Raw genomic sequence first — 11,713 nt, forward strand, 5'->3', positions numbered from 1 at the left:
TGGGCCAGAGCAAGGCGCAGACCCGGGGCGCCCATGGAGTTGGCGTCGGAGCAACAGCTGCGCGGGCGGAGCAGGTAGGCGCGCTCCAGTCCCTGCAGCCCGAGCGGGGTTCAGCGAACGGGTAACGGGAGAATGCGGGCCGGAGCAGGCTGGGGTGGCGGTGGGATGCCCCGAGGCCCGCGGCGGGGAGGCGGGCTGCTCTCATCACCCCCTCTGGGAAGCATCTTTGGCTGCAGGAGTTGCCAGGCCAACTCCCCCTCCCGCGGTGGGTAGGACATCTTTAGATTTCCCTCCCTGGTTGGCAGCTGTGTGATATGGTGGACCAACCCTGGGTTCGAATCCTATCTCCCCACTTACTACACGTTCTCCCTGGGAAACTTTATTCACCTTCCAACACCTCCGTTTCCGTATTTGTGAAATGGATGTGTTTGTATTCCTATCTTCCTTGGCGGGACGTTGCAGAAGTACCTCGGCACCAACTTTCTTATTAATGGCAGCCAGCTCTTGTATAGCGTTTACTACGTGGCAGGCACTCACTGTTCCCGGTGCTTTCCAGGTATCAGCTCACTTAATCCTCCCAACACTAAGAGAAAGGCACTATTATTACCCCATATACAGATGTGAGGATTCACACATAAAGAAATTGACTTGCCTAAGGTCATCCGACTGTAATGGGCATAGCTAGGATGCAGCCCACTAAGCTACACTGCCTCTGATGGGGTCTCGGGGGGTAAGGGGAGGCTCCCAGTCATTAAATAGAATTTGGAGTCTCCTTACAGCAACTCTTCCAGACACACATATTCTTCCAACCCCACCCTTACAGCACCAGTGTCTGATGACTTTTCCTGACCTACAACCTTGCTAGGCCAAAAGGTTTCATGGAGCTTTTATTTACTTATTTATTTTATTATACTTTAAGTTCTGGGATACATGTGCAGAACATGCAGGTTTGTTACATAGGTATACATGTGCCATGGTGGTTTGCTGCACCCATCAACCTGTCATCTAGAATTTAAGCCCCGCATGCATTAGGTATTTGTCCTAATGCTCTCCCTCCCCTTGCCCGCCACCCCCCGACAGGCCCCATTGTGTGATGTTCCTCTCCCTGTGTCCATGTGTTCTCATTGTTCAACTCCCACTTATGAGTGAGAACATGCAGTGTTTGATTTCCTGTTCCTGCGTTAGTTTGCTGAGAATGATGGTTTCCAGCTTCATCCATGTCCCTGCAAAGGACATGAACTCATTCTTTTTTATGGCTGCATAGTATTTCATGGTGTATATGTGCCACATTTTCTTAATCCTGTCGATCATTGATGGGCATTTGGGTTGATTCCAAGTCTTTGCTTCGTGGAGCTTTTAAACTGGTTTATCTCTTCTGCAGCACCTTTTAGGAGCTTTGCTTGGTGGTGAGTGCTGTGGAGATCCCTAGCCTTGGGCAGTTTGCAAGTGATTGAAGAGACCTATTTCTTCATTTGTTAAATGTTTAAGTACCTTCTCAAAAGCAGAAGGAGGTTGTCAAGGGGTGTGTGGGTCCCTTGGGAGAGAAAGGCAAGGACACAGATTATACAAAGAGGGGCACTGGCAAGAGGTAGCAGAAGGAGGCAAGCTAAATACGGACACAGCCATGCTGGGAACCACTAGGGCGCCACGTCATGGGCGGGACGGGCTGCTGTTCAGTCCTTTACGGAAGTCTGTTCGGATGTGGCGGTGGGAAGGCCAGCTGGAGACAGGGGCCAAATCAGTGAGTGGGTGGTGAGAGAAAGTGATGGCGTAGTGAGGACAAAGCCTGGAGAAGGTCCCTAGGGAGGCCCACAACTGTGCTTACTTGAGGATGCTCACTGCCACTGTGGTGTTGGTGGGAGCTGGAGGAGACTTGGGGTCCATCAAAGGAAAGAGGATGGGAGACAGGCAGGATACCTGCCATGGGTTCTATTCAGCTGCTAGACGCAATGGGTGAAATGTACACAGAGCCACAGGAATAAGTCCGACAAACAGTAAGTACACATTTGGCAAGCACACATACAGACAAAAAGACACACGTCAAACACACTTGAACAGTTGCCTATGGTGGGGGCAACGGAATGGGACAGAGGGTTAAAATGGAACACATGAATAAATAAAACTAGAGAGGGGTCTTGCACAGACGAATAATGTCAGTCCTGAATTGGGAAATGTGATTCACTTGCCCCTGCACCCTTGTGGTCCAAGAGGTGGGGACAGGAAAAAAAAGTACAGAAGAAAGAGTCAAAAAGCCCAAGTTCCAGTCTGGGGCCCGATACTAACTTGCTGTGAGACTATAGGTGAGTCCCTTCACCTCTCTGGCCTTCAGTGTTCATCTGAAAAGAAATCAATTCTCAGGTCTCTTTCCAGCACCACAATTTTATGAGCCATGATCAATAATCTTGGGTTTATCTGGTAAAGTAGTCAGTGAGAGCTTTAAGGAGTGGTAGGGCTTGAACTTTGAACAATGGGGGTTTGGGAGGGGCAAACAACATGAGGAGAGTTTTTAGGCAAATGAAACTTTGAAAGCAAAAAACTGTAAAAAGTTTAGCAGATGGCTATAAAATATCTATGGATGAAGCAGGCCTTCGCTCAGATCTCTGCCGGGACTCTCTAGTTGGGTCAGAAAATTTCCAGCCTTCCCCACCTCTTCCTTCAACAGTTACCAAATCGTGTCTTCTAAAGAACTTGCAAACACATCCCCATTCCCACCACAATGCCTGGACTCTGCTCTTGACCATCCTTCCTCTGTCCCCCAGGAGTGTCCTTTCCACACCTCAAAACTCACCACATGGCTTCCAGACATTTGACCAATCAACCTTCATGGCTCTCTGTGACCTCAGCTGGGGTTTTCCACCCTGTTCTGCTGTTACACCTCTTGAATTTTACACAACTGTCAGCAATGTAGCTAGATACAGGAAGGGGACAGGCCATGTCAGAATTCCAGAATCTTGGGGAAAGGGGAAGTGGGACTCTCTGGCCTCTAGGACATAATCTTTATCACATCACGCAGGACCCCTTGATCCAGCACTTCCCACTGCTCCCACGTGATCCAGTTCCTCCATTTCCAGCCCACTTAACAAGTTAAGTGCCAGGTGACCAAACCATTTTTAGCTCCCTGAATGGGAACACATCACATACATTCACAGTTCTGTGGCTTTGCACGTATTGTTCCCTCTGCCCAGAATGCATCAGCTCCTCATCCACTACCACTAGGCCCACCTGATCTGCCTTGCAAATCCTACTCACCCTTCAAAACCCAACTCAGACGTCGCTTCCTCTGAGCAGCCCTCTCTACTTCCAAACACTATATTTAGTCAAACAGAGTAAGTCACCCTGCATGTGTGCTACCCCACACTATGAGTCTGCCTGAACCTTCCTGCTCTCTCACAGGGTTATAATTGAGTACTGGTCTGTATCCCTGGATAGACTGTGAAATCCTTGCAGGTGTGGACTGTGTCATGAATGTATCATTGAACCACCCACACCTGGCACAGTGCCTAATGCACTTGGGACCACAGGGAAAGCTGGTTCATTTGAGTTTAATCTCTGTTTGACAGGTAATGGCTCTTCCTTTTTATTCCCCACAGAAAGCAAGTGATTGCTTTCCTTTCCTCATTTTTGGAAGCCCTGCCTAACACACAGCTGCACTGTACATCCCAGTTCCTGGATGGACGAAGAAAGTGAACTGATCCAGCCCCAAGACCAGAGCTGCTGGGCCTTTCTGCCCGATTTGTGTCTGTGCCGTGTTTTCTGGTGGCTAGGAGACAGGGACAGGTCCAGGGCTGCTCTTGTCTGCAGAAAGTGGAACCAGATGATGTATTCTGCTGAGCTCTGGCGGTACAGAACCATCACCTTCAGCGGGAGACCTTCCAGGGTACATGCATCTGAAGTTGAGTCAGCTGTTTGGTATGTTAAGAAGTTTGGTCGTTATCTGGAGCACCTGGAGGTCAAATTCATGAATCCTTACAATGCTGTCTTGACCAAGAAGTTCCAGGTCACCATGCGGGGCCTCCTGTCTTGTCTGAGTAAGAGCAACAACCGTCTGAAATCTCTTTCCATCCAATACCTGGAGCTGGACCGCCTGGTATGGAGGAACAGCATCAGGAGCTCATTCATCAGCAGCTTGAGCTTCTTCTTAAAGAAGATGGGCAAACGCCTGGATTATCTCAACCTAAAAGGGGCCAGGCTGACCGTGGAGCAAGGCTGCCAAATTCTCGACTCCCTCAGCTACATGAGGAATGAGAATGTGATCTCAGAGCTCAACATCGAGGACTATTTCAGCCATCACCTTGCTGTCTACAACAGCCCCCAGTTCAAAAAGACCATGTCCACATTCCACAATCTTGTGTCCCTGAACCTCAACTACAACTGTATCTCCGACGAGCTGCTTGAGAACTTGTGTGAGAATGCCAGCACCCTCCGGACCATCAACATCAAATGCCACGTTCATGACCCCCACGGACAGGTCATCTGGGGTATGTCCTGGGCCAAGCTGGCCAGGCAGGCCACCAATCTGAAGGTGAACTTCTTCTTTGAACGGATCATGAAGTACGAACGCTTGGCCCGAATCCTCTTGCAGGAGATCCCGATCAGGAGCATCAGTCTGAGAAGCTGCTATTTCAGTGACCCAGACTGTTCAATGAGACCCACTCTGATAGATCTCCTGCCCACCTTCCGGCACACTCTGCAGGTAGGTAGGACTTGTGAGGAGTGACTGCTGTTCAGGTGACTGGCTTCCCCAGAAGAAAGCCCACTGCTGCCTGCTCTTGGCTAGGCTCCCAAATGTTCACTCAATCTCAAATTGAAGTTCTAGGAAATACCACCAACTAAGCCTCCTGCCCTCCTCCCAAGACCACAGTAGGCAACAGAAGCTGCTACTCACTTCCTACATGTGGTACAGACACAAGGAATTATCTGGTTAGCTGTCAGCTAGGGAAAACCCCTAAGTCCCCACTCAGAGCTATGAAGCCTGAGCCAGGAGGTGCCTTGCAGGCGAATAGCGGCTGGGCTGCCTCTTCCTACTTTTCCACGAGGTCACAGCAGCATGCAGGAGACCCTGTGGCTCCTATGGTCAGATCTCAGTGGGGGATCTGTCTGGTTATAGCAGTGCCAGTGCCTGGTAATTGGGGAGATAGAATGGGGAGGACCAGGCCAGACAAAAAGTCAAATTTGATTTACACAACCGAAGAGCTCAGAGTTTCTGGGTTGTTCCCTAATCTAGTAGCTTTCTCACCTGTAAGATCAGGATCATTTTGTCTTTCCAAGGACCTCACAGTGGTTGTGACAACTGATATTAACAGGTTTATGTATCTCTACAAACATGGATGGACTCCAAGGTGCTAATACCTCATTAGGTACCCACATAAACCAAAGGTGGGGTACGGCAGACATCATCATGACCCTTGTGTGCTGCAGAAGAACTTGAGGTTCAATGACCAGCCCACAGTCACCCAGCCAGTCCACTGCAGGGCTGGGACGAGCACCTTGTATACTCCAAGTACACTGCCTCCAAATTCCAAGTTTTGCAACCTTGGATGAGATCACCATCATTCTCAAATCTCTTCCTCTAAGAACTACATGTCCAATGTCCCTTATCTAAAAAGCCCCCAAATTCCATTAACACCAGACCTGTCCTACAAGAAATGCTAAAGGGAGTTCTTCAATCTGAAAGAAAAAGGCATTAATGAGCAATAAGAAATCATCTGAAGGTACAAGACGTATACTTACTATTACTTACTGGTAATAGTAAGTACATAGAAAAACACAGAATATTGTAACACTGGAATTGTGTGAGTAAACTACTCATATCTTACGTAGAAAGACAAACATATAAGCTGATCGAAAATAATAACAACAACAACTTTTCAAGACATAGACAGTACAGTAAGATACAAACAGAAATAACAAAAAGTTAAACAGTAGGGAGACAAAGTTAAGGTAAAAAGTTTTTATTAGTTTTAGTTTTGCTGTTTATTAGTTTGTTTATGCAATAGTGTTAAGTTGTCATCAATTTAAAATAATGAGTTACAAGATATTGTTTGCAAGCTTCATGATAACCTCAAATCTAAAAACATACAACAGATAAAATAAAAAGCAAGACATGAAACATACCTCCAGAGAAAATCACCTTCCCTAAAAGGAACACAGGAAGGAAGAAAAGAAGGAAGAGAAGACCGCAAAAAACCAGAAAACAAATAACGAAATGTCCCGAGTAAGTCCCTACTTAGTAATAACATTGAATACAAATGGACTAAACCCTCCAATCAAAAGACATAGGTGGCTGAACAGATTAAAAAGAAAGACTCAATTATCTGCTGCCTACAAGTAACACATTTCACCTATAAAGACACACATAGACTGAAAATAAAGAGATGGGAAATGATATTTAATGCCGATGGAAACCAAAAAAGAGGAGGAGTAGCTATACTTATATCAGACAAAATAGATTTCAAGACAAAATCTATAAAAAGAGACAGAGTCATTATATAATAATAAAAGAGTCAATTCAGCAAGAGGATATAACAATTGTAAGTATATATGCAGTCAACACCAGAGCACCCAGACATATAAAGCAAATATTATTAGAGCTAAAGAGAGAGATAGACCCCTATATAATAACAGCTAGAGACTTCAACACCCTCCTTTCTGTATTGGGTAGATCTTCAAGACACAAAATCAACAAAGAAACAGCAGACTTAATTTGCATTATAGACCAAAAGGGCCTAAAGGATATTTACAGAAAATTTCATCCAATGGCTGAAGAACACACACTCTTCTCTTTAGCACATGGATCATTCACAAGAATAGGCCATATGTTAGGTCACAAAAAAGTCTTAAAACAGTCAAAAAATTGAAATTATAGCAAGCATCTTCTCTGACCACAACAGAATAAAACTAGAAATTAATAACGAGAAACTTTGGAAATTATATGAAGACATGGAAATTAAACAATATGCTCCTGAATGACCAGTTGGTCATGAAGAGATTAAGAAGGAAATTGAAATATTTTTGAAACAAACAATATGCAGACACAGCTACCAAAACCTGTGGGATACAGTGAGCAATACTAAGAGGGAAGTTTATAGCTATAAGCGCCTACATCAAAAAAGAAGAAAAACTTCAAATAAACATTCTAATGACACACTTTAAAGGACTGAAAAAACCAAGAGCAAACCAATCCCATAATTGGTAGAAGAGAAGAAATAATAAAGATTGGAGCAGAAATGAGTGAAAGTGAAACAAATAATGCAAAAGATCAGTGAAATAAAAGCTTTTTGAAAAATAAACAAAATTAACAAACCATTAGCAAAAATAAGAAAAAATGAGAGAAGACCCAAATAAATAAAATCAAGAGATGAAAAAGGAGACATTACAACCAATACCAGAGAAATACAAAGGATAATTAGAGCCTATAACGAGCAACTATATGCCAATAAATTGGAAAACCCAGAAGACATGGATAAATTCCTACACACGTACAAACTACCAAGATTGAACCATGAAGAAATCCAGAACCTGAACAGACCATTGACAAGTAACAAGATAGAAGCTGTAATAAAAAGTCCCCAAGCAAAGAAAAGCCCTTGACCTGATGGCTGTACTGCTGAATTTTATCAATTTTATCAAACATTTACAGAAGAACTAATACCAATCCTACTCAAACCATTCCAGAAAAATAGAAGCAGAGGGAATAATTCTAAACTCATTCTACAAGGCTGATATTACCCTGATACCAAAGCCAGATAAAGACACATCAAAAACAAGAAAACTATAGGTGAATATTCCTAATAAACATTGATGGAAAATTCCTCAACAAATTATTGGCAAACCAAATTCGACAACACATTACAAAGATCATTCATCCTGACCAAGTGGGATTTATCCCAGGGATGCAAGAATGGTTCAAAATATGCAAATAAATCAGTGTGACACCTCATAACAACAGAATGAAGAACAAAAAGCATATGATTATTTTAATTAATGCTGTAAAAGCATTTGATAAAATTCAACATTCCTTCATGATTAAAACTCTCAAAAAACTGGGTATAGAAGGAGCATACCTCAATACAATAAAAGCCATATATGACAGACCCACAACTAGTATCATATTGAATGGAGAAAAACTGAAAGCCTTTTCTTTAAGATCCAGAACAGAGCAAGGATGCCACTGTTACCACTGCCATTCAACATAGTACTGGAAGTCCTAGCTAGAGCAATCAGATGAGAGAAATAAAGGGCACCCAAATAGAAAATGAAGTCAAATAATTCTTGTTTGAAGATGATATGATCTTATATTTGGAAAAACCTAAAGACTCCACCAAAAACAAAAACAAAAAAAACTATCAGCTAAACAAATTCAGTAAAGTTGCAGGATACAAAATCAACATATAAAAATCAGTAGCATTTCTATATGCCAACAGTGAACAATCTGAAAAAGAAATCAAGAAAGTAATCCTGTTTATAATAGCTACAAATAAAATTAAATACCTAGGAATTAACCGAAGGAATGAAAGATCTCTACAATGAAAATTATAAAATATTGATGCAAGAAATTGAAAAGGACACAAAAAAATGGAAAGATATTCTATGTTCATGAGTTGGAAGAATCAATGTTGTCAAAATGTTTATACTATCGAAAGCCATCTACAGATTCAGTGCAATCCTATCCAAATACCAATGACATTCTTCACAGAAATAGAACAAAGAATCTTAAATTTATATATATATATGTGTGTGTGTGTGTGTGTGTGTGTATATATATATATGGAACCACAAAAGATGCAGAATAGCTAAAGCTGTCCTGACCAAAAAGAACAAAACTGTAGAAACCACATTACCTGACTTCAAATTATATTACAGAGCTATAGTCACTAAAACAGCATGAGACTGACATAAAAACAGATTTTAAGCCCCTTATATATTCTGGTTATTTATTAATCCCATAAAGACCAATGGAACAGAATAGAGAACCCAGAAACAAATTCATTCATCTGTAGTGAACTCATGTTTGACAAAGATGCCAAAACCATACATTGGGAAAAGGACGATCTCCTCTTCAGTAAATGGTGCTAGGAAAACTGGATAGCCATATGCAGAAGAATGAAACTAGACCACTATCTCTTGCCATATATGAAAATCAAATCAAAATGGACTAAAGACTTCAATCTAAGACCTCAAACTATGAAACTGCTACAAGAAAACATTGGGGAAACTCTCCAGGGCATTGAACTGGGCAAAGACTTCTTGAGCAATACCCACAAGCACAGGCAATCTAAGCAAACATAGACAAATGGGATCACATCAAGTTAAAAAGTTTCTGTACAATGAAGGAAACAATCAACAAAGTGAAGAGACAACCCACAGGAAGAATGGGAGAAAATATCTGTAAGCTACCCATATCACAAGGGATTAATAAATAAACAGAATATACAGAGCTCAAACAACTCTATAGGAAAAAAAAATAGTAATCCAATTAAAAAATAGGCAAAAGACTTGAACAGATATTTCTCAAAAGAAGACATATAAATGGCAAAATAAGTATATTAAAAGGTGCTCAACATCACTGATCATCAGAGAAATGCAAATCAAAACCACAATGAGATATTATCTCACCCCAGTTAAAACGATTTTTATTCAAAAGACAGGCAATAGCAAATGCTGGAAAGGATGTAGAGAAAAGGAAATTCTCATACACAGTTGGTGGGAATTTAAAGTAGTACAGCCACTGTAGAGAACAGTTTGGAGGTTCCTCAAAAAACTAAAAATAGAGCTTACATATGATCCAGCAATCCCACTGCTAGGTGTATACCCCAAAGAAAGAAAGTCAATATATCAAAGAGATGTCTGCACTCTCATGTTTATTGCAGCACTGTTCACAATAGCCAATATTTGGAAGCAACCTAAGTGTCCATCAATGGATAAAGAAAATGTGGTACATGTACACAATGGAGTACTATTCAGTCACAAAAAAGAATGAGATTCTGTTGTTTGCAATAACATAGATGCAACTGAGGTTGTTATGTTAAGTGAAATATGCTAGGCACCGAAGGACAAACTTTGCATGTTCTCACTTATTTGTGGGAGCTAAAAATTAAAACAATTCAACTCATGGAGATAGAGAGTAGAAGGACGCTTACCAGAGGCTGGGAAGGGTAGTAGGGGGTGCAGAGGGAAGTGGGGATGGCTAATGGGTACAAAAAAAGTTAGAAAGAATGAACAAGATCTAGTATTTGATAGCACGACAGGGTGTCTATAGTCAATCATCATTTAATTGTACATTTTTTAAAAACTAAAAGAGTATAATTGGATTGTTTGTAACACAAAGGATAAATGCTTGAAGTCATGGATACTCTATTTACCCCATTGTGATTATTACACATTGTATGCCTACATCAAAATATCCCATATACCCCATAAATATATGTACCTATGTACCACAAAAATTAAAAATTAAAGTTAAAAACCCCCAAATCATCATGGCTATCAGGCCCAGAGCCAGGTCGTGGAAATGTTACAGAACAACTCAGCCAGGCTCAGCATCTCTGCCCACACACATCTTCCCTTTTGGTGCTCTTCCAGAAATTAACTTGTGAATTCAACAACAACCATGAGTCACTCGACGAGGAGCTGCACCTCCTCATCATATCCTGCAGGAAGTTGTTTTACTTCAAAATCTGGGCTTTCCTTGATGTTAGTTTTGTGGAGCGGATCCTGAAGAGTCAGAAAGAACGGCAGTGTGCCCTGCGTGTATTCAAGGTAAGAGGTCCCCAGGCTGGTTCCACGGCGTAGAGTGGGGGCATCCAGGAATGGTGCTTCTGCTCTGGAACGAAGGGCTGAATAAGGCAGTGGGGGACAATCATCTGTTCATTGAAAATCAGCAGTTTCAAAGAAGGGAATCTGGAGCTCTCTTTTCTAGTAGTTGGGTTTGGTCTTTTTCTGATTCTGCCAACATATTTTCCTGATTCAACAACTGTATGTGTAGATCATTTAAGTTGCTGTCAAGCCCTGAAAAGTGTAGTCACCGTGTGTGTGTGTGTATGTGTGTGTGTGTGTGCGTGTGTGCGTGCTCATATGTGGATGTATTTCTCTGTTGGCACAGGCGAGAATTTATACAAACAGATATGAGACGAATGAAGAGGACAAGACCCTGCAGGAAATTTACAGGAAGTACAGAAAGCTGATCGAATCAGAGCTTAGCTATTTTGTCATCGTTTACTCTGTGATGTAATGAGCACTCTACAGATGAAGAAAGCTGGGAGCACTTTGAACTTGAAAATCATTTCTCTTAGAACTACACTTGGGCACTGCCGGCCCTTTTGCTCCTCTCTCTCCCCTCCACTTTTTTTTTTTGTCAGCTCCATGACAACATGACCAGCTCAGCAAAGGCTGAGACTGCCCATGACCTGAAGGCTCCAGGTGGCTTTAAAGCGCTATGTTTACCAACTATCCCGGTGTCATTTCTCTTTTTGTCAGTTTTGCTTTTTGACACCCTCACTCGTCCACAGAGCTAAAAACCCAAAGCCACTCAGAGTAGCTTCCTTTTTTTTTTTTTGAGATGTGTTGACGAAAAGAGTCAAACTCTGTAAAATATTTTTAGAGATTTATTCTGAGCCAAATATGAGTGACCATGGCCTGTGATACAGCCCTCAGGAGGTCCTGAGAACATGTGCCCAAGGTGATTGGGGTACAGCTTGCTTTTATATATTTTAGG

At 42.3% G+C, this 11,713-nt stretch overlaps 1 protein-coding gene across 1 annotated transcript; it reads left to right on the forward strand.

Annotated features, from left to right (window-relative positions):
* Positions 1–16: 16 nt before the first annotated feature.
* On the forward strand, positions 17–11,448 carry FBXO39 (F-box protein 39). Its single transcript, NM_153230.3, has 4 exons — positions 17–74; positions 3,591–4,693; positions 10,582–10,758; positions 11,102–11,448. Exons 2-4 carry the CDS (start codon positions 3,671–3,673, stop codon positions 11,228–11,230), a joined length of 1,329 nt encoding a protein of 442 aa, NP_694962.1. The 5' UTR covers positions 17–74; positions 3,591–3,670; the 3' UTR covers positions 11,231–11,448.
* The last annotated feature ends 265 nt before the right edge of the window (positions 11,449–11,713 follow it).

Source organism: Homo sapiens, chromosome 17 (assembly GCF_000001405.40).
Source record: "Homo sapiens chromosome 17, GRCh38.p14 Primary Assembly".
Taxonomy (NCBI): domain Eukaryota; kingdom Metazoa; phylum Chordata; class Mammalia; order Primates; family Hominidae; genus Homo; species Homo sapiens.

Excerpts from the sequence above, each read along its gene's own strand:
- FBXO39 (NM_153230.3), top strand. The coding sequence starts at position 3,671 with ATGGACGAAGAAAGTGAACTGATCCAGCCCCAAGACCAGAGCTGCTGG. Across the intron at positions 4,694-10,581 it reads CCTTCCGGCACACTCTGCAG|AAATTAACTTGTGAATTCAA; the intron begins GTAGGTAGGACT and ends GTGCTCTTCCAG. Across the intron at positions 10,759-11,101 it reads GTGCCCTGCGTGTATTCAAG|GCGAGAATTTATACAAACAG; the intron begins GTAAGAGGTCCC and ends CTGTTGGCACAG.